At 41.6% G+C, this 23,359-nt stretch overlaps 1 protein-coding gene and 1 long non-coding RNA gene across 47 annotated transcripts in view; one reads left to right on the top strand and one right to left on the bottom strand.

The window, feature by feature from the left end:
* Positions 1-168: 168 nt before the first annotated feature.
* Positions 169-23,359, bottom strand: part of ZNF45-AS1 (ZNF45 antisense RNA 1) — a 33,949-nt gene continuing 10,758 nt past the window's right edge. Inside the window, exons 2-3 of the long non-coding RNA NR_184050.1 lie at positions 10,729-10,841; positions 169-9,697 (exon numbers count right to left, since the gene is read on the bottom strand). This is a non-coding gene — a long non-coding RNA (ZNF45 antisense RNA 1). The remainder of the gene's footprint in view (positions 9,698-10,728; positions 10,842-23,359) is intronic.
* On the top strand, positions 701-23,359 carry ZNF45 (zinc finger protein 45). 46 transcript variants are annotated; one of them, XM_047439333.1, is made up of 12 exons: positions 701-753; positions 1,289-1,557; positions 3,293-3,375; positions 4,618-4,736; positions 5,986-6,065; positions 10,525-10,658; positions 11,422-11,581; positions 11,673-11,745; positions 13,766-13,812; positions 16,284-16,410; positions 17,021-17,113; positions 20,783-23,359. In XM_047439333.1, the coding sequence occupies exons 9-12, from the start codon at positions 13,798-13,800 to the stop codon at positions 22,594-22,596; spliced, it is 2,049 nt and encodes a 682-aa protein (XP_047295289.1). In that variant the 5' UTR covers positions 701-753; positions 1,289-1,557; positions 3,293-3,375; positions 4,618-4,736; positions 5,986-6,065; positions 10,525-10,658; positions 11,422-11,581; positions 11,673-11,745; positions 13,766-13,797; the 3' UTR covers positions 22,597-23,359. The 46 variants fall into 46 exon arrangements, with proteins under 46 accessions (XP_047295289.1, XP_047295281.1, XP_047295284.1 ...); XM_047439325.1 differs by having other exon boundaries at positions 5,983-6,065; XM_047439328.1 differs by having other exon boundaries at positions 3,293-3,379.

Raw genomic sequence — 23,359 nt, 5'->3', positions numbered from 1 at the left:
GATAGAGCCTATTCAATACTATAATACTTTCTTCAGTATCCTGCGAATGAAAGAAAACTAAGCGCAAGAAAAGTGGAGAATTTTGCTGCTTTTGTTTCATGTCCTGCTGGATGATTGCATCTCCTTTTTTGAGCATTTTTAATCACAGATGAATCCATACCCATATTATAAAAGGCTTGTTGCTCTGGGCGGCTCTGGCCACCTCTTTTATTACCTCTGTTTTTAGCTCACACATAGCATTCCTTTGTATTTTCCTTTTTTTTTTTCATATTCGCAACTTCTGTCACGTATAAAAGGGAACAATGGCAAAAGGAAAAAGCAGGCTGAGCTCTACAAGCAATGACTTAGACTCCCCCCGCTAATTCAAAAGGAAAATTGCAGGCTGGCGGGAAGCTCAGCCCTACAGAGGATTCTGGGACGTGTGGTCCAGACTTTTGGGGGCACTTCAGCTCTGGGAAAGCGCGGCTTTGTTATTTGCTCCCCTGGGGAAATAGGAACCTATACCCCAGTGCTCAGTGGGTTCGGTGGTACTTCGACTATTTGAGGACGAGAACACGAAGCCCGCTCCCCTTGGGGATTCTGAGAAATAAGATTCGGCCGTGGGAGTCGAAGCCCGCACTTCCGCCCAGGGGGCGGGGCAGCGGCTTCCGTTCCTCCCGGGGATGCTGGGAAATGTAGTTCCAGAGCTCCCTGCTCTCCCGGGCACTTCCGCGGCAAGAGGTTGAGAGCGCGGCCTTCATTCCTCTCGTGGAAGTGAGTGAGTCCTGGGACCCCGCGACCTGTTTTAACTTTTATGGTTTGGTCGTAGGATCAGCAGGGCTCGCACTTCGGTCAGCAGGAAAAGACGCTGCGGCGAGCAGCGGAGGGCGGAGTTGAATGGCTGGGCAGCTGATTGCCTTACTGTATCCGGAGCTGCTGCGTTCGGGGCGGTTCGGGAGTCCCCTGGTTGGAAGTGGACCTGAATGGGGAGGCGTCTGAGGATCTCCTGGGCTCTCAGCGGCCCGACCCGCCTTCCCCCACCTCCCACAGCTCTGTAGCTTCCTAGCGGTGTAACGTTGGGTGAGAACTTAATCTTTCGGTGCTTAGTTTCTGGTCTTAGTTTCCTCTTCTGCAAAAGGAAATATTAACCTTATATATTTGTTTTGACAATTAGTAATATAGTACAAGTAAAATGTGTATGGAATAGTACAGGAATGTGGCAACATGTCGGCCGTTAATATTAAAACTATCATAATAAAAAATATTCATTTTTCAGCAAGCGCCTGGCTCTTCTTTCTGATTCCTGCAGGAAAGGAGGCTGTTCTTGGACTATGCCTGACCCGTTTTTTAAGAAAGAGTGCATCACTCAACAGGTGGCGTCTGGAGTTATCCTCTGTGGATTTTCCAGGATCTCAGACAAGATCGTGCAATCTCCCAGCCTCCTTTCCTTCCCCTGCCCTGACTTCTGAAAGAATGCTGCGGGAGAGGAGGAAGGAGAGCATCCTGGCTTCTGGCAGCAGAGCCCCACTGTGACAGGACCTAGCATTCACCTTCCTCTTCTGTTCCGAGTGCGAGAAGGTATTTCATTCCTTGCAAATGTTTCTGCTACAGAAGTGTTCCGTTATTGTATAATTGGAGAAAATGTGACATGAATATTAGTCACACTAGTTAAACATTGGGTGCTGAGTATCACTCTGAGGGCTTTATAAAAACTAACACACTGAACCTTCACAAAGGCCTTGTGTTGTGGGTTCTGTTCACCTTACAAAGGTGATGTGGGTATTGTGATATGGGTACTGTTATTACACCAATTATACAGATGAGGAAATGGAGAGAGCCTAATTTACTTTCCTATATCACAGTGCTAGTAAGAACAGTGGGATTTGTGTCCTAGACTTGGGTTCCTTACATCTGAATACCCTTGGTCTCACAGTTTGAAATCCCAATTTAGAATTAGGAAATAAAATAGATAAATGATCCATATAAATAATCATAGGAAACTGGCTGCAGAGGAGCCATTTGAGATCAAGTTGGGGAGGGAGGTTGGAATTTTACTGTAGAAGATTTTGAAAGCAAGGTTGAGTTTAGACTTTAGAAAATTTTGAAAGAATTCTCATTTAATTTTAAGCAATATTAGTAGTTCATATTTTGATCATAGAGATGCACGTTCTCTGTACAGGATGTAGAAAATACAGAAATATAAAATATTACAAATTTCCTTAATACTAGGATATAGATAATTATTAACATTTTAATGCATTTCTGTTTAGCAGTTTTTAATGTGTTTTTGTCTGTGTTTTATGAAATTGTTATCACACTATTCATAGTGGGTTGTTATTCCCTTATTTTTTACTATGGAAATATCCAAACATACCCAAATATAATGAACTCTTATGTACAGTCACCCTGCTTCCATTCTTGCTAATCTTATTGCCTCTCCCACCAACTTTTTTTCCCTTGAGTATTTTAAAACAAACCCAGATGATGAGTCAGTAAGGCTTAAAAACTAATAATTATCATTAATTGTGTTTTTTGTTTTTTGTTTTTTTTGAGATGGAATCTTGCTCTGTTGCCCAGGCTGGAGTGCAGTGGTACGATCTCAGCTCACTGCAACCTCTGCCTCCTGGGTTCAAGCAATTCTCCTGCCTCTGGCTTTACAGGTGCCCGTCACCACGCCCTGCTAATTTTTGTGTTTATAGTAAAGACTGGGTTTCTCCATGTTGGCCAGGCTGGTCTCAAACTCGACCTCAAGTGATCCGCCCACCTCAGCCTCCCAAAGTATTGGGATTCCAGGTGTGAGCCACCATGCTAGGCCTCACTAATCGTTTATATATGAAGGCCAAGGGAGGGGCAATTATATTCATTTGCCAGGGCTGCCATAAGAAAATACTACAAATTGGCTGGATTATACAGAAATGTATTTGTTACAGTTCTGGAGGCTAAAAGTCCAAAATCAAGGTGTCACCAGTTTTGGTGGCTTGTAAGGCCTCTCCCCTCTGTGTGCGTGAGCTCCCTTGCTGTAAGTCAACTTCATCACCTCTTTAAAGGCCCTATTTCCAAAGACAGTTATTTCTGAGATACCGAGCGTTAGGACTTTAACGTTTTGAGAGAGGCACACACAATTCAGCCCATAATAGATATTAACAGTAACTCTGAGGTTTTTCACTCCTGGCAGCTAGGAGAATGCTACTTATGTGAGAAAGCTAGAAAGAGTTGCAATTAGGAAAAGAAAGATGATTGATTTTCTTTGCTTTTTTGGAGTTGCACTTGCCACTGGCATATAACTCTTGGTTTCCTATCTCTCTCCCATTAGACTTCAGGGACCTCTGTTTCATGGACATTATCATATTCTTCTCAAGAGTACCCAGCAAGAGGTTTGCAAAGAGGAGTTATTCAGTGAGTAAGTGATTCATGTAGCTCTCCAACAGGCATCTGGATTTTGGGTGCTACAGCTTGCAATTAGAGAACAAAATAGAAGGATTATCCACAGTCCTTGTCTGTTATCTCACGTTTGGTGGGCTGTAGAATCCATCAACTTTTTCAGGGTATTCAAAAGTTGATGAACAATTGTGGATAATATTGTCAAGATCTAAAACAAACTCCCTTAAAGACAAATCAGACCACTATTAAGGTTCAGTTTTTTGGGTTTTTTGGTTTGTTTGTTTTTTGAGACAAAGTCTTGCTCTGTCACCCAGGCTGGAGTGCAGTGGCGCGATCTTGGCTCACTGCAACCTCCGCCTCCTGGGTTTCAGCAATTCTCCTGCCTCAGCCTCCCCAGTAGCTGGGATTACAGGCGTGCACCACCATGCCCAGCTAATTTTTGTATTTTTAGTAGAGACGGGGTTTTGGCATGTTGGTCAGGTTAGTCTTGAACTCCTGACCTCAAGTGATCTGCCCGCCTCCGCCTCTCAAAGTGCTGGGATTATAGGCATGAGCCACCATGCCTGGCCAGGTTTAATATTTATCACATGGAGATTCTGATGAGGACTGCTGACATTTGTTGGGTGTTTCTTATGACTTGGAGAATTTCTAGTGCTTTCCATGCACTAGCTTATTTGTTCTTTATGACAGTTCTATTTTATTCTGATTTTAAAGATGAAAAAACAAACACACACAAGTTAACTGTACAGATGAACTGGTGGCACAATCAGCGGGGCAGAGCCAGAATCAAACCTCAGCAGCTAGGTTGGAACACTCAGTGACTGAATAACCTTGGGCAAGTTACTTGACCTTTCTGTGCCTCAGTTTTCTTACCCGTTAAGTAGGGATGATATTAATAACTACCTCGTAAAGTTTCTGTGAAGACTAAAAGAGATAGGTAACATGTTTGAAATAGTGCCTCGCATGTAGTAAGTCCTCTGTGTATTATAGACTAAAGCTGGCCTTCATCTTCTACAGATAAGTTGAAAAATGCAACAAGTTATTGAAGGAGCAAAGGTATATATATATATGTATACATTTTTTTTTTTTGAGACAGAGTCTTACTCTGTTGCCCAGGCTGGAATGCAATGGTACGATCTCAGCTCACTGCAACCTCTGCCTCCCAGGGTCAAGCAATTCTCTGCCTCAGCCTCCCGAGTAGCTGGGATTACAGGCACCCGCCACCACACCCAGCTAATTTTTTTGTATTTTTAATAGAGACGGGGTTTCACCATCTTGGCTAGGCTGGTCTTGAATTCCTGACCTCGTGATCCACCCGCCTGGGCCTCCCAAAGTGCTGGGATTACATGCGTGAGCCACCGTGCCCAGCCTCAAAGGTATATTTTTAAGTATTCTTTTCTTCCCCACTTTCCACTTTTTCTATGGATACTTTAATTCTGTTACATATTTAAACAAATGTGCATAGTTTCTATGATAGTGATTGTTGAAACCTACAACTAATTTGCTGTCTTTTGAACTTAGCAAGTCCCTGTGAGATGATTATATAGTCTATATTGCCTTAATAAAAAGGTCTAAACCTGCACTATCCAATAGTGTAGCCATTAGCCGCATGTGATTATTGAGCACCTGAAACGTAACTAGTCTGAATTGAGATATGTTATAATGGTAAGGCACAACAGATTTCAAAGATCTAGTATGAAAAAAAGAAAGTAAAATCCCTCAATAATTCTTATACTGATTACAAGTTGAGGGGATAATACTTTGGATATGTTGGGTTAAAGAAAATATATTGTTGAAATTAAGTTCACTTGCTTCATCTTACCTTTTTCAGTGTAGCTATGAGAAAAATTTAAATTACACGAATAGCTTGCCTGCATTATATTTCTGTTGGACAGCACTGATCTAAGGGAAGCCTCCCCTTTCATTCTGAGAATTTGCCTCCAGAGGCATTACCAGTCATTCTGCAGCCCTTTCCTCTTATAGAGAGCTCTAGGGGCATCTTATACTGGAGAGGAGCAGGGAGCTGATAATCAGTAGGCCTGAGTGCCAGGCAGAGCCATGCCCCTGGTTTCCTGGGTGCCCTTGGACAGTTCCGTCAACTCTTTAAGAGGCAGTGTAGAATAATGCAGTGGTTCTTGAACTGTGGTCACATCAGAATCATAAGACCCAGGCCCTACACTACTTCTATGAGCTTGAACTTCTGTGTTCTTTATTAGTAATTCGGGGGTTCTGGTCACCTATTCACCCCATTGGTGAAGGAGGGATTCCCCCACCTGCTGCTGTCTGAGTGTCCCCCAAACATTGAAACTTAATCCCCATTGTGGTGTTATTAAGAGGTGAGGCCTTTGGGAAGTGATTAAGTCATGAGGGCATGAAGGAGTTAATGCTCTTATAAAAGAGGCTTCAGAGAGAGAGTTCACCTCCCTTGTTCTTCTGCCATATGAAGACTATGAAGACACAGCATTCCTCCATCCCCCTTTTCCCCTACCCTTCTGCCACGTGAGAACACAGCAAAAAGGCCCTTACCAGACCCACAACCTGCTGGAGCCTTGATCTTAGACTTCCCATCCTTCAGAACTGTGAGAAATTTCTGTTCTTTATAACTGTGGTATTTTGTTATAGCAGCAAAAATGGACTAAGACATCACTTGAACTGGCAGGAGGTGGCTGAACACACAAACCCTACAGTCAGCCTATGCAGAAGAGGTTGGTAGCAGTTTATTAGTCACATATTCACAGCCCAGGGGACTTGCACTTGAGAATAGATTGAACCAACAGGGGCCATGGTAGGTTGATTTTGTAGTGACAGGAGGGTAGCAGGGTGACCCTTGGTTCCTGCAAGAAGATTTAATTGACCATTTGGATAATTCTACAGGCTGGCAGGGAGGCAAAACCTGTTATGTGGAGGACCTGGTGGGGTACAGGTGGTCTGGCTAAATAGGATGAATTGTGCCTAAGTCTTAATTTTATAAAAGCGGCTGAGTGACAACATGGAGAGATTAATGCCAATGAATAGTATTTTAATACTTAGAGTTCCACTGGTACATCACACCACACCAGACCACATGAAGCCCACTACAGGCAAGGGTCAGGAAGCAGACAGAGAAAGGAACTGGGGCCTATGCTTTTGTAATATGTCTTTCTCCCACCGGTGAAAGCTGCTTGCAGGGAAGATGCACATAATTTTGGTTGTTAGTCTGGCCCTGTGATTCAGCAGACTTAGGGAGAGATTAGGAATAGCAGATATCAAATAGCCAGTACATAAAACATGGTTAACACACGAGGAACTAGGCGGGCAGGGATCCTTTCCCACTGAGAGGGCATATCTGGAGAGAGCCGGGAGCTCATGGCTAGGCCTTCAGGGCCCTGTGAGTCTCAAAGGTATCAAGGCAGCACATGGAACCTCAGGCCTTTTGATATGGATGCATACCAGGGTTTGAGAACCACTGTCGAGCGGTTAAGAACATGGGCACAGGTGTCAGATTGCCTGGGTTCATTGCCTGGCGCAGCCAGTGTTCTAGTAGATAAGGCACTGGGTGAAAATCCTGACTTTTCTGTTGACCACTTGTTAAACATGAACAAGTTACTTCTGTGTGCCTCTATTTCCTTGTCTGTAAAATGGGCATAATTATTTTCTCAATCTCTATCATCGTTATGAAAATCAAATGAGATACTACATGTGAAGAATTTATGTAAACAGTGCCTTGGTAGGCAGCCAGTCAGTTGCTCTAAATGTCAGTTGCTGTCATTATAGGGAGTATTTTATGAGTGGCCTGGGTTTTTTCGTGGTTAATGTTAGGAGCATAGAGTTGATCTTGGCACTCCTGATCCTAACAAACCTTCATTCCTGTTTGTTAGTATCAGAGAGAAAGAGAAGCTTGCAGTTTGTTTTTACCTTCTTTAGTTCTTTTTGCCCTTAGGCAATAGGATAGTATATTGGGGTTAGTAGAAAAATTGGAGGTGAAAACCTCAAGTGTTAGTCTGTCTGAAAATATCTAGAGAGCTGTTTTAACTGATGCTATCAAATTGTAATTTAGGGACCAGCAGCATTAGCATCACCTGGGATATTGGTAGAAATAGGTTCTTAGTCCCATCCTTGATCTTCTGTAACTGCAGAAGTACACGTGCAGGTTTGTTATACAGGTAAACTTGTGTCATGGGGGTTTGTTGTACAGATTATTTTGTCACCCAGGTATTAAGCCTAGTACCCATGAGTTATTTTTTCTGGTCCTCTCCCTCCTCCCACCCTCCACCCTCTGATGGAGACCCCAGTGTCTGTTGTTCCCCTCTGTGTGTCCATGTATTCTCATCATTTAGCTCCCACTGATGAGTTAGAACATGCGGTATTTGGTTTTCTGTTCCTGTATTAGTTTACTAAGAATAATGTCCTCCAGCTCCATCCATCTTCCTGCAAAGGACATCTTTTTTTTTTTTTTTTTTTTGAGACAGAGTTTCGCTCTTGTTGCCCAGACTGGAGTGCAATGGTGCGATCTTGGCTCACCACAAGCTTGACCTCCCAGGTTCAAGCAATTCTCCTGCCTCATCCTCCTGAGTAGCTGGGATTACAGGCATTCGCCATCATGCCTGGCTAATTTTGTATTTTTTTTTTTAAGTAGAGACAGGGTTTCTCCATGTTGGTTAGGCTGTTCTCGAACTCCTAACCTCAGGTGATCCGCCTGCCTCACTCTCCCAAAGTGCTGGGATTACAGGCATGAGCCACCGCGCCCAGCCAGGACATCTTTTTTATGGCCGCCTAGTATTCCATGGTGTATATGCACCACATTTTCTTTATCCAGACTGCTATCGACGGGCATTTAGGTTGATTCCATGTCTTTGCTAAATACCAGACCTATGGCTTTTTAACAAAAAAAAATTTTCTATGTTCTTCAGGGCTGAATTACATGCCTTCAGATATCAGATCTCTACATGGCTTTCTCTTCCTATATTTGAGGTCTCTGTTCAAATATAAGAGAAATCTTTCATGACAAAAACTTATTCTGTGACAGCCCCTCCTTTCATCTCTTTATTTCTTTACCCTGCCCTATTGTTCTTAAAAGTGTCTCTCGCTATATATTGGGGGTTTGCTATGCCCTCGTAGCCCATTATAATATCATCTTTGTGAGATCAAGGTCTTTGTTCACTGCTGTATATTTCACATCTAGGACCCTTGGCTGGCACAGAGTAGACCCTTCAACAATCATATGTTGAATGAATGGTTCAGGTGATAAATAATGAGGCCCTGATCCACATGGTGTATCTATCAACTATTCACTGAGTCATTAAAGTAGTCATTCTGCAAATCTTTGGGTTCCTTCCAAATGCTTGTAGCAACTTAGTAGGTGTTGGGGATGGAGCAGGTAACGAAACTCCACATTAGACAAGTGTAATGAATATAAGTAAGTAAATACCTAGAAGGATGTTAGAGAGGAATAAGGGCTTAGAGAAAAGAAGTAAGCAGAGATGAGGGATAGGAAGTGTTGGGGTGCAGTTAGGAGACCGAAATTATCTACAGGATGGCTAGAGAGAGACTCTGAGGTGGTGACATTTGAATAAAGAAGAAAGAGTTTCTTAGTGTGGCTCTCCTAATAGTCTCTCTGGCCCTAGCCTCCTCCCCCTCAAGCCTCCTCCCGTTTGAGAGGGTAATCTGTTTCTAACATGAAAGGAATCTTTTTACTCTCCTTTCCAGAAGTCCTTCAGTGTTCTCCTGCTGACTTGCAGATAATTTTGTGACTTGAACGTCATCATGGTTTGAATTCTGCCTTCCTGCCCATCTCTTTCTGCCTGTTATTTGTCTTCACATCATGACATTTGTTCTCTGGGAGTTTTATAGTGATTTGGATTCTCTGGCTAATAGAGCTCAGTCACCCTCCAGGGCTCAGATTAAGCTACGTTTGTGTAGAACCCCTGCATTCCACTGTGGGCTTATGAGCCCATTCCTCATGCCGCTAAAGGATGCTGTGCACTACTCTGGCATTTAGCCATGTATAGTGGAATTGCCAGCTTCCTCATCACTAGACTGTGAGCATCTTGAGGCTGGGGAATTGCATCTCTTTTAGTAAGGTTCCCACAAGTCTTCACTGAGTTAATAAACTCATCTATTTAATGAAGTAGTAATAAATTCACCTGTCTAGTGCTAATTATGCAGGCAGTAAAATAGTGTTCATTCTCAGTATTTTAAGGGACACATTCTGTGGGTTCTGTAACAGTGACTCATGTCGTCGCTGACTTTGAAGAGCAGAGAGTACTTTCCTAAGATGGTATTTAACAAAATCCAGAGATGCTTTTCCTTCCAAAGATGACTCTGATCTTGCCCAAGGACAGCAAATATGGTGAAAGACCTAGAGGAAAAATTTGGAAATAAAACCCTTGCTCTCCAAATCTTCCCAACTGGAGTCAGTCTCAGGGAGACTTAGACCAACTAGTCTAGTCTTCCTATATGCCTCTCCATGTCTGATGGTGGGTTCAGTCATTTCTGCTGGGCAATTACTTTGTACAGGAACTGTTTTAGGTACTTGGGATATAAAGCTGAATAAACATTCATCACAAGACAGATGGTTGATTTGCTATTATCTCTTTTTTTTCCCGAGGCGATGGAAATATATCCCCTGCAAAACATTCTTACTGAGCAGAGGTTGCTGGGCAAATATAGAGTTAGAACAAAGTGAATTACAAATTCTAAAAGAGTATTTCAGGCTGGGTGTGGTGGCTTACGCCTATAATCCCAGCACTTTGGGAGGCCAAGGCGGGTGGATCACTTGAGGTCAGGAGGTCGAGACCAGCCTGGCCAAAATAGTGAAACCTCATCTGTACTAAAAAAACAAAAGAAACAAAAAAAATTAGCCAGGAATGGTGGCGGGTGCCCATAATCCAGCTACTGGGGAGGCTGAGGCAGGATAATCTTTTGAACCCGGAAGGCTGAGGTTGCAGTAAGCTGAGATCATTCCACTGCACTCCAGCCTGGGCCACAGCGCAAGACTCCATTTCAGAAAAATAAATAAATAAGTATTTCTTCTAAGATTGGAAGGTTTTATGTTTCCCTTTTCAATAGTAAGGGTTCTTCTATCTGAAGTAAGAGAACTAAGAATAATTTACTAATAAATCAAGCAGTAATTAACTAATACTAAGCTTTTAATCTGGGTATTTTACTCGTTTCCACCCTCCATAGAATCAGAATCATACCCTGAGAGCTACAAGAACTCCATTTTTCACTGTGCAGAGGCTCTCTGCTGAAGGGTCAAGTGGAATCTGGAATCCAGCCCATGTTTCCCCATCATCAAGCCATGTGAAGCTGCAGACTCCGTGAGTGCCTTAGTCCATTTGTGCTGCTATAACAAACAATACCATAGGCTGGGTGGCTTAAACAACAAACCTTTATAACTCACAGTCCTGGAGACTGGGAAGTCCATGATCAAGTCACTGGCAAATCCAATGTCTAATGAGGCCACTCTTACTGGTTCGCAGAAGCTGTTGTCTTGTATCTTCCTGGGAGGAAGAGAGAAAGAGCTAGGTTACTTGCTTTTCTTACAAGGAAAGCAATCCCATTATGGAGGCTTCACCCTCATGACCTAATTACCTCCTAAAGGCCCCACCTCCCAATAACATCACATTAGGGCTTCAACATAAGAATTTTGAGGGGACACAGACATTGGTCCACAGCAGCAAGGGAGGGGCTCCCTGACTGTTTCATGTAAAGCATCTGCATGGGTTTATGTGTAACTTCTATTGATTGTTTAAGCTGCCAGAAACTGTTCCACATGTTTTGTGTATACTTAGTCACTTTCACTGACCTTCCTATGAAGTAGGTATTATTATTACATCCAGTTTATAGATTAGACATTAGAGCACAAAGTACTAGCAAGTTGGACATGCCTGTATTCCAGTACTGGTGGGCTGGTTCTGGAGTCTAGACTGTTCACAACTCTGTTCTCTACTCCCTCAAGCAGCTCCCTTGGCTTCAGAGTCCAATCTCCATTTCTGTGTCTGTCTTTTACCCCTAACTCTGGAGCCCTCATTTCTCCTTCCATGAGATCTTAGACTCCCATCTGCTTATTTTTGTCTTTAGAAGCAACAGAGAGACAAGATTTAGAATACTGGCTCTGGTATGAAAGCTGGATTCAGGTACTGTTCCTGCCTCTTGACCTCACCAAGCCTCAGCTTCCTCGCCTGTTAAATGGATACAATTGTCGTCATTATCATCTGTTGAGAACTCCCTAAAATGCCAGGTACTATGCCAAGGGCATTGCATAAATTCACTCATTGATTCCTCACAGTAATCCTATGATTAACATCCTGTTTTCATTTCCCTTCTTATAGCTGAGCATAGGCACAGAAGTTTAGGTGTTTGGACCAAGGTCACACAACTGATACAACAGTAGCTTCTTCACAGGTATGTGTGAAGTACCTTAATGAAACATCATGTGCCAAGTTCTTCATAAGGTCCCTAATATGTATTTAGTTAAATATCACCATTTTTGTTGTTATTATTGTGCTTCCTATAGCTTGTTAATTTCAGTGACATTATCTAATTTATAGTTGCATAAATCTTGCAGAGTCATGATTTTTTATTAAATTTTCTCTGTCTCTATGATAGTCTTTTTAAGGCCCTACTGTTAAAGTAAATTTTGCAAGGTCTTTTTTTTTTTTTTTAGATTTTTTTTTTTTCTCTTTAGAGATCACTCTGTTGGCCAGGTTGGTCTTGAACTCTTGGCCTCAAGCAGTCCTCCCACTTTGGCCTCCCAGAGTGCTAGGATTACAGGCATGAGCCACTCTACACAGCCAAATTTTGCAAGGTCTTATACCTTTTAGAAACCAGTCCATATAGTCAAATTCATAGAGATAACGTGGTTATCAGGGGCTGGGAGGGGGAATGGGGAATTATTACTTAATGGGTACATAAAAAATTCTGATGATGGATAGTGGTGATGGCTGCACAACAATGTAAATGTACTTACTGAATGTAACCACTTAAAAAATGGTTAAAATGGTAAATTTTATGTTACATATTTTACTATCAAAAAAAGCAGTCATCTATGTACAGTAGTCCCCCCTTATCCACAGCAGATACCTTCCAAGTCCCCCAGTGAATGACTTAAACCTCAGATATTACTGAACCCTAAATATACTATGTTTTTCCTTTACCTACATACTTATGATAAAGCTTAATTTATAAATTAGGCACAGTAAGAGACTAACAACAATAACTTATAATAAAATAGAATAATGATAAAATACTGTAACAAAAGTTCTATAAACATGGTCTCTCTCTCTCTCTCAGAATATCTTACTGCACTGTACTCACCTATTTTTGGGCCATAGTTGACTTCAGGTAACTGAAACCACAGAAAGCAAAACTATGGATAGGAAGGACCACTGTAATCTTAAATACTATTGCAAAAGCCTCAAATTAAGTATGGGAAACCAAGAGAGAATAACAGGTATTTCAGAGGTTAAAGGCGAGGTTAAAGTAGAGGTTAAAAAACCTCTACTAAAGAATTCATCAGCTGAGTGTGGTGGCTCACACCTGTAATCCCAGCACTTTGGGAGGCTGAGGCAGGAGGATCACTTGAGCTCAGGAGTTTGAGACTGGCTCGGGCAACATAGCATGACCTCGTCTCTACAAAAAGTAAAAAAATTAGCTGGACATTGTGGTGCACACCTGTGGTCCCAGCTACTTGGGAGGCTGAGGTGGGAGGATCGCTTGAGCCCAGGAGGTCAAGGCTTTAGTGAGTCATGATTGTGCCACTGCACTCCAGCCTGGGCAGCAGAGCAAGACCCTCTCTCAAAAAAAAAAAAAAAAAAAAAAACAAAGAATTTATTGGTAGAAACCATTAATGAGCACAGGTTTTATGTTATGTGCTTTTCTGCAGCTAAGAAATAAGGTACTCTGAAAATATTCTTTGAGCTTTTTCCCTCATTTAATTTGTAAACAATCCTATGAGATTGTTAATTCTCTCATTGTTAATCTCTTCATTTTATGGATGAAAGAACTGAGGCACAGAGATATTAATAATTTGTCCTGGATTTCATAGCGAATAAATAGCAATGCCATAAATCTAGGCATTTGGCTCCAGAGGGGCCAAATACTCTTAATCTGGGTATTTTACTCTCAATTTCTACTCTCCCTAGAATCAGTCATACCCTGAGAGCCACAAGGAGAAATTATGTTGGGGGCATACTCTGTGTGGTCGGGCAGGTCACTTGCTGCCAGGGTCTTACAGCCAAAGGGACAAGTAGTATCTGGAATCCAGCCTAGTTTCTGTTCATCAAGCCAGCCCGAGGAAGGAACACTGTTGCTATTTCACGTTAAAAAAAACAAAACAAAACAAAAAAACAGCTATGGTTTTTTTTTTGGCCAAACTCTCATGGCTTTTTTCTCCTTCCCTCATGTTTTCTCCTTCCCTCTTAAGACTTGGCACTTCTCCAGAAGGAGGAGGACAAAATGACGAAGTCTAAGGTGAGTTGGACCTCCCTTTCTCCGTAATAATTGTCATCTCATTTCGGAAAGATTACATACACCTTATTCTCTTTGTTAGGAAGATGAAGGAGAACGGTAGACATTTGAGAACCTCTTGTGTGCCAAATGCTTGCTGCTTTTTACTTTTGTGTTGTTTAATTTTTGTTGCTTTATTTTATGACTTTATAATTTGATAAATAAGCATAGAATAGAAAAGTCAGTAACAATAAAAATCTCTCATTTTCCTACTGTTTCCCTTACAAAACAACTGTTTTGATTTTCCATGTTCTTTTCCTCAGATGTATTCATAACTGCGTATTTATAAGCATTGTATAGACAAAATGTTCAAGTTACATCTTTTCTAATTAATATTACTTGCTCCATATTTTTATAGTCCCTTGAATTGATGTTACTCTGTGGTGTGTATGTGAGATAACTTTTCTCCTCATTCATCAATGTTTAGGTAGTTTAGAATTTTTACTGAAAATTGTTACTACAGTTTTCCCACAAATAACCATTTTTTCCAAAAAGCAATTTGAAGGAGTTTTGCTATTATTTACTTTTAATGTTATAGAAACACTATATTGAAAAAGTACTTTTGATATGTGGTACTTTGGGTAGTTCCTATGTCAATGATTCAGATATGACATCGTGTGACATGATGCCACTGATTTTAGAGAAAATATTATTAGATATTTCCACAAAAGAAAGCTAGATTTTTCTTACCCAGGCCTGAGTTATACCCTATGTATGTTTACTTACTGATCCGTATTCTTTTACTCTTATGTTAACTTATTTTATTGAAGTAATAATGTACTTAATTTTAAAAGTCTAGCAGTACAAGAGGACTTACCAGATACTTCTCTTACTGTATTTATTCCTCAAACCAACTTTATGAGGCAGTCCTTGGTCTCATGTGCATTTTAATTACAAAGAAACAAGACTGTAGAATTGTGGAAAGTTGCTTAGTTTCACATAGGATACCAAAGATCCAACTGATTTCAAAAGACTCCAGGATTTTTACTTGACTGAAGAGAGAGAGGCAAAGAAAAAGAATTCTCCACTTAGTGGACCTGGCCCTTTTTGTGTGGGTGCCTAGCTTGTCCTGGTTAGTGGAAGATGCCTCAGCTAATACTGCCCCTACTCGATTCACTCTCCAGTGGCCTCTTCTTCTCTATGACCACTGTCATTCATTTAGGGTACCTGAATGTGCAGGGCTCCAGGGATGAACAGTCTTCATATGAAAAGTTAAAACAGTATGATAATGCTGGCCGAGCACAGTGGCTCACACCTGTAATCCCAGCAGTTTCTGAGGCCGAGACAGGTGGATAACTTGAGGTCAGGAGTTCGAGACCAGCCTGGACAAACATGGCTAAACCCCATCTGTACTAAAAATACAAAAATTAGCCTGGCATAGTGGCGCACGCCTGTATTCCCAGCTTCTCGGGAGGCTGAGGCACAAGAATCACTTGAACCCAGGAGGCGGAGATTGCAGTGAGCTAAGATCGTACCACTGCACTCCAGCCTGGGGAACAGAGCAAGGCTCTGTCTCAAAAAAAAAAAAAAAAAAACCAATACGATATGCTAGTGCTTCTTTATCATGGGTGACTTTACCGCCCACTGCCCCCCCCCCCCACCCGGCAACATCTGGAAACATTCCTGGTACCACAGGTCGGGGGTGCTACCAGCATCTAGTAGGTAGAAGCTAAGGGTGCTGCAAAATGCCCTACAGTGCCCTAGACACCCCCACACAGCAGACAACTATCCCGCCCAAGACAGCAATAGTGTTGAGTTTAAGAAACACTCCTGAACACAAAGCTATAAAACACCAGCAAAATGTAGGTGAACAACAACGTATATGCTAAAAAACGACTTAAAATCATCACTAGAAATTTTACAGAGTTATAAGATAAAATTCTAAATGGAATATCAATAAAAGGACAGTAACAGGTGAGATACCAAAGAAAAATAAAGATGTCCAGTAAATATACGAAAATATGATCTTACTAGTTAATTACAGACCAAAAAACCCAGTTGTTTCTTAATGAACAGATTGCCTAGGATTTTTTAAAAATTGGTTATATTCAGTGTTATCTATGGTATGGAAAATCAATGATACTTTATCTTGGGGGAAGGATAAGACAGGGAAAAATTGAAAAGAAAATCTGTCGTACATCATAATTTGGAAGTTGCATATTCTTTGACATTGTGATTTTTCACTTCTTGGAACTTACCTAAGAAAATAGGTGGGTAATATCTATGCAAAAAGTTGTTCTTTACAGCATTTATTATGAAAAGGAAAAACCTAAAATATAATACACTTTATATGTGTTTAACTGTAATAAAGTTGAATATGGTCTCTTAAGAATCTGACACCTTTCCCTACACATCTTTTTCACATTTCTCAGTGCTATCCCTTTTCCAGTGGACCTTTATTGCAAGATTTAGGTGGAGTGTGTTTGATGTTGTAGGAGGCAGTGACATTCAAGGACGTGGCTGTGGTCTTCTCTGAGGAGGAGCTGCAACTGCTGGACCTTGCCCAGAGGAAGCTGTACCGAGATGTGATGCTGGAGAACTTCAGGAATGTGGTCTCAGTGGGTGAGGACAGGCATTCTCTGACTGAACATTGGCTCCCTCTGTTGTCTCTCTGTCCTTGGGTATACAGGGCTTTGGAGCTCTTGAACTGGTTTTCAGTTTTCTAATCATCCATCATAAGACAGATATGGAATTTTTAAAGTCTTTCTCCCCTGGCAAAAGTGTGTATTTTGTTAATGAACCATAAATTGACAGCATGACAACTATACACTTTTATCCTTTCTCAAATTGTGGTCATCTCCAGTTAGTGGGTCCTGATATACATTTGATGAATTGTACCATTGGTTTTTTTAATGAAATAAAATGGGGTAGAAAATGTCAGAGCACTTGGCAATAACTGCACATTGCAGCAAAAACTATGTCCTGTTGCCAAGAAGAATGTGAGAGACAATGGAGGGGGTATGATGAAAACATTTTTTTTCCCAGTAATTTATACTTATATCTGCATATCTTGGGTCTTTGCATGAAATATACTTCCTCCAATGGGTCATGATTAGAAGTGTGGAAAACACTAAGTTTGATGTCCTGAAGACGATGAAATGAGGACAATAATTTTGAGTAATTTTGGCTTCTGATGTATTAATTATAAACCTATGTCCTTGCCTTTTCACAGGGCATCAGTCCACACCAGATGGCCTACCACAGTTAGAGAGAGAAGAAAAGCTGTGGATGATGAAGATGGCAACCCAGAGAGATAACTCCTCAGGTGAGGAGGGGCTGGGGCTGCTGGACATTTTTCTGTTAGCCTTGGAGATATTCCAAGGTTGGCAAACAAAAATGTGTGACGAAGGCATAGTCTAGAACAGTTTTTTTCCCCCTGATGAATATCTAATCTAATTCTAATTTATTGGGTGCTTTTGGATATATGAAGATCTGTATTCATTAACCCACTTAGTTTGCTCAGGATGCTAAAACAAAATACTACCGACTGGGGGAATTATAAACAACGGAATTTTATTTCTGACATTTCTGGGGGCTGGGAAGTCCATGTTCAAAGCACCAGCAGATTCAGTGTCTGCTGAGGGCCCACTTCCTGATCCAATGACAGCACCTTCTTTGCTGCGTCCTTACAGGGAAGGGGCAAGAAATCTCTCTCAGGCCTCTTTTATAAGGGCACTAATCCTATTCATGAAAGATCTGCCCTCATGACATAATCACCTTCCTAATGCCTTAGGAGTTAGGATTTCAGCATACAAATGGCAAGGGCACACACATTGAGACCATAACACTCACATCTAATGAAAGCTTAGCTTTAGTTGTAATCAAATTGAGTATCATTTCCCCCTTGTGGCTTTCCTGTAGCTGTTAATAGTGAATCTTGCTCACTTGGTGAAGAACTACTTTTTAGAATAAAGGTTCTCATAGCCACGTTTTAGGCAGGTCCCCAAAAACACTTTACACAAGGAAAAAACAATGTTTAGAGAATAGCTTTTAAGTCTTTCCCTTTAAAAATTTTCTTTGTGGCAACCATCCACCTCTTCCAAAGAGAGTTACAGAAAAGAATATTACTTATCATTTTAGTAGTCCCTATTCAAATATGGTATGTATGGCAATGCCTTTATTTTCTACAAAATTAGCCACTAAGCAAATAAATGTTATAGAAGATAGCCATTAAATAAACATATACTAAAGAAGGTAGATTTTAGTTTTCTCTGCATTGTAATAAGGGCCTAACATATCATTTTCAATTAGAAACATTATAACCTGGGCAAAATAGGGAAATTGCCCTCCTCAAATTGACACATTCTCAGGAAGACCAAAAAAAGTCACATTTAAAAGTGAAAACTTGCAGCCAGTCATGGTGGCTCACGCCTGTAATCCCAGCACTTTGGGAGGCAGAGGTGGGTGGATCACCTGAGACCAGGAGTTCCAGACCAGCCTGGCCAACATGGTGAAACCCCGTCTCTACTAAAAATACAAAAATTAGCTGAGCATGGTGGCGCATACCTGTAACCCCAACTACTTGGGGGGCTGAGGTAGGAGAATCACTTGAACCTGGGAGGTGGAGGTTGCAGTGAGCCTACAGCGCGCCATTGCACTCCAGCCTGGGCAACAAGAGTGAAACTCCATCTCAAAAAAAATAAATAAAAATAAAAGTGAAAACTTGCAAAGTATATACAGACATGACAAACTATGTAGGCTTCAACTTAAAGGAAACACATTTATCTGTTTCCCAAGTTTCCATTATTACAATGTAACTTTCTATTTGAACAATTTGTTTGATTAAGAAATTAATACCTTTCTTAATCATTTAGACTGGGAGGTTTCAAACTTTTGAGTATGAGTTACAATAAGAAATACATTTTATATCATAAATACAAACATTCACATATGGGTAGGTGTGTGTGTGTGGCCTTAAACAAGAATTTATGCGGAGAAATACATTTCTTGCTTACAAAACACGTCTAATATTTTTCTTTTCTGTTAATGCTTGTCACAAGCAACTGAATTTATTTCCAACTCACTAATAGTCCTAGCCTTCAGTTTGAAAAACAATGGTGTGATCTATATAGAAAAATATATTTACATCCATCCATTTTTATAGTCTGCTTTCAGAGAAAACATTATTCCCGAGGCTCTAAATATTGACTCCTACTTGAAAAAGGAAAAATCAGAGAACAAAAATTTTAGAAGCAATCAGTCCCTAGATCCCCTGGCCACTTTTCTGCCTTATGATTTTTTTTTTTCCTAAGTAATTCTTACCATGATTTTGTGATCAGCATGATTTTCTTATCAGCACCATCCACTTAGCCCTGAATCTGGTGAAACCTTTAAACTTCCCAGAAGAATCGCTCTTTCCAGTCCCTTTCCCATTATGCATCGTTTACTTGAAAAAGTTCTTTCACTTTTGTAATTTGGCTCAAAGTCTCCCAGAGAAGACAAGTGGGAATTCTTTTATTCAACACATCTATTGAACACTGTGTTGAGTCAGGCAGAGCTCTTGGGTGATGATAAAGTGGTGAATGATATAAAATGCTCGTTCTCATGGATGGCAACATCCATTCAACAGAGACATAAAAAATAATAAGGGACATATATAGTTTGTCAGAGGGTAATATGTGCTTTGTCAAAACAAAACAGGTGAATGGAAATTGCCAGGGGTGTAATGTAGATGGGGAGAATTTACTATCTGATATTGAGTGATAAAGAGGCATCACTGGGCCAGGCGTGGGGGCTCACAGCTATAATCCTAACACTTTGAGAGACTGAGGCAGGTGGATAGCTTGAGCTCAGGAGCTTGAGACCAGCCTAGGCAAGATGGTGAAACCCCATCTCTACAAAAAAGTACAAAAATTAGCCAGGTGTGATGGTGTGCTTCTGTAGTCCCAGCAGCTTGGGGGGATAAGGCAGGAGAATCACTTGAGTCAGGAGGTTGAGGCTGCAGCAAGCCATGTTTGTGCCACTGCATTCCAGCCTGGGTGACAGAGTGAGACTCTGTCTCAAAAAAACAAAAAGAAGGCCAGGTGCCGGTGGCTCGCACCTGTAATCCCAGCACTTTGGGAGGCCGAGGCAGGTGGATCACGAGGTCAGGAGATTGAGACCAGCCTGACCGACATGGTGAAACCCCCCTGGTGGTTATGGAAACTTTAATTGCTATCAGGTTTTAGAATAATGTGTGTTATTACCATAAACCTCTTCTCCCAGGTGTTCTCATGGAGGCTATTTCCTAGCAAGAGGTAAAGGACCACTATCTGTTTACACTCGAACTTTAGGTATGTAGGTCAGTGATCCCCAATCTTGGCACCAGGGACTGGTTTGTTGGAAGATGGTTTTTCCACAGACTGGGGTCGGGGGGATGGTTTTGAAATGAAACTGTTCTACCTCAGATCATCAGACCTCAGTTAGATTCTCATAAGATTAGATTCTCACGCAACCTAGATCCCTCGCACGCGCAGTTCACGATAGGATTCGCACTCCTATAAGAATCTAATGTCACCATTGATGTGACAGGAGGCAGAGCTCAGGCAGTAATGCCCACTGGCCTCCCGCTCACCTCCTGCTGTGTGGCCCAGATCCTAACAGGCCACGGACTGGTACTGATCCACGGCCCAGGGGTTGGGGGCCCTGACTTAGGTGATAAGGTATTTTCTGAAAAATGTGTCTTTCTAACTAGCACAGTGCCTCAACATCTCCCAACCTTGGAATAAACTTCCAATGAAATAATCCCAGGCAAAGGTTTTTGAAAATTTATGTGTAGGAGTTTTACTAGACATTTTGAACAGGGCCACTTTGTTCAGATGTCTATGCAGTAGGCAATGGAACCTTCTCCTGGTTCAATGAAGCCTTAGGCTATGGGCCCGAGTTTATAAACTTGACATCTTGGAACAAAACATTATTCACATGCCCCATCTCCACATTTTCTTTATCCTTTTAGGAGCCAAGAATCTAAAAGAGATGGAGACTCTTCAAGAAGTAGGATTAAGGTACCTGCCTCATGAAGAGCTTTTCTGCTCCCAGATCTGGCAACAGATTACAAGAGAGTTAATCAAGTATCAAGATTCTGTGGTAAATATTCAAAGAACAGGCTGCCAGTTGGAAAAACGAGATGATTTGCACTATAAAGATGAGGGATTCAGTAATCAGAGTTCCCATCTTCAAGTTCACAGAGTCCACACTGGTGAAAAACCCTACAAAGGAGAACATTGTGTGAAAAGTTTCAGCTGGAGCTCTCATCTTCAAATTAACCAAAGGGCTCATGCAGGAGAGAAGCCCTACAAATGTGAAAAATGTGATAATGCCTTCCGTCGGTTTTCAAGTCTTCAAGCCCATCAGAGAGTCCACAGTAGAGCAAAATCATACACAAATGATGCAAGTTACAGGAGTTTTAGTCAGAGGTCACATCTTCCCCATCATCAGAGAGTTCCCACTGGAGAGAATCCATACAAATATGAAGAGTGTGGGAGGAATGTTGGGAAAAGCTCACATTGTCAAGCTCCTCTGATAGTTCATACGGGAGAGAAACCCTATAAATGTGAGGAGTGTGGGGTGGGCTTCAGTCAGAGATCATATCTTCAAGTTCATCTGAAAGTTCACACTGGAAAGAAACCATATAAGTGTGAAGAGTGTGGGAAGAGCTTCAGTTGGCGTTCACGACTGCAGGCTCATGAGCGAATCCACACTGGCGAGAAACCATACAAATGCAATGCATGTGGCAAGAGCTTTAGTTACAGCTCACACCTTAATATTCATTGTAGAATCCACACAGGAGAGAAACCCTATAAGTGTGAGGAGTGTGGGAAAGGTTTCAGTGTGGGTTCACACCTTCAGGCCCATCAGATAAGCCACACTGGAGAGAAGCCATACAAATGTGAGGAGTGTGGGAAAGGCTTCTGCCGGGCCTCAAATCTGCTGGACCATCAAAGAGGCCATACTGGAGAGAAACCGTATCAGTGTGATGCATGTGGTAAGGGCTTCAGTCGTAGCTCAGATTTTAACATTCATTTTAGAGTCCATACAGGGGAAAAACCCTATAAATGTGAGGAGTGTGGCAAGGGCTTCAGCCAGGCCTCAAATCTTCTGGCCCATCAAAGAGGCCACACTGGAGAGAAACCCTACAAATGTGGTACATGTGGGAAGGGCTTCAGTCGGAGCTCAGATCTTAATGTACACTGTAGAATCCACACAGGAGAGAAACCCTATAAATGCGAGAGGTGTGGTAAGGCCTTCAGTCAGTTCTCCAGCCTTCAGGTGCATCAGAGAGTTCACACTGGAGAGAAACCATATCAGTGTGCAGAGTGTGGGAAGGGCTTCAGTGTAGGTTCACAGCTTCAAGCCCATCAGAGGTGCCACACTGGAGAGAAACCCTATCAATGTGAGGAGTGTGGGAAGGGCTTCTGTCGGGCCTCCAATTTTCTGGCACATCGTGGAGTCCACACAGGAGAAAAACCATACCGATGTGATGTGTGTGGTAAGCGCTTCAGACAGAGATCCTACCTTCAAGCCCACCAGAGGGTCCACACAGGAGAGAGACCATACAAATGTGAGGAATGTGGGAAAGTCTTCAGCTGGAGCTCATACCTTCAAGCCCATCAAAGAGTTCACACCGGAGAAAAACCATACAAATGTGAGGAGTGTGGGAAGGGCTTCAGTTGGAGCTCAAGTCTTATCATTCATCAGCGAGTCCATGCTGATGATGAGGGTGACAAGGACTTTCCTTCATCAGAGGATTCACACAGGAAAACTCGATAAAATATGTTTTACTATCTCAGATGGGTGCTGAAATATTTTAATAATCAGAGCTATCATAGACAAAACATTTGTTTTATAGAGTCAGTAGTTCAGCCAAGTGATTGGGAGACCACACAGCAGAGAAGCCTCACAAGAGTGGAGACATATGGACTGCATTCAGAACATTGACCATTAGCTGATACATGCAGACAAGAGGATCAGGAAGGATGAGTCTGATCTGGAGTAAATCAGAAGTACTAAGATAGAAATGCTGAATTCTGTTCCACTAGAATATAAGATCCAAGAGGGCAGGGACTTTGTTGACTGCCAAATCTACTCTGCCTTTTCAGTGCCTAATACGTTGTAATTTTTCAGTAGTATTTGAAATTACTGTCATATTTGAAATTCAGTAATATTTGACATTTTTATTTATCTCTAGAAGTTTCTCTAAAATTGTACTCAGAAGAATTCTGCAAGGCTTGGAGGATATATAAGTTAGTCATATGGCCTGATTTTCCCATTTTTGCAGATCTCGTGGACAAGTGTTTATCAAACTGAAGGTTGCAGCTTGTTAGTGGGTTCAGAAATCAGTTTCTGGCTAGCAACTAGAAGTTTTGTATGTTAACAGTACTTTATTGAGGTGTAATCTGCATGCAGTAACATGCACAAGTCTCAAGTTCATGGCTTTCTGAATTTTGACAAATGTAATCATCACCAAGATCAATGTATACAATATGTCTATTAAACCAAAAAGTTTTCTTGTGCCCATTTCCAGTCAATCCCA

The sequence above is a fragment of the Homo sapiens genome, chromosome 19, assembly GCF_000001405.40.
Source record: "Homo sapiens chromosome 19, GRCh38.p14 Primary Assembly".
Classification (NCBI taxonomy): Eukaryota; Metazoa; Chordata; class Mammalia; order Primates; family Hominidae; genus Homo; species Homo sapiens.
This window is presented reverse-complemented; position numbering and strand designations above follow the sequence as displayed.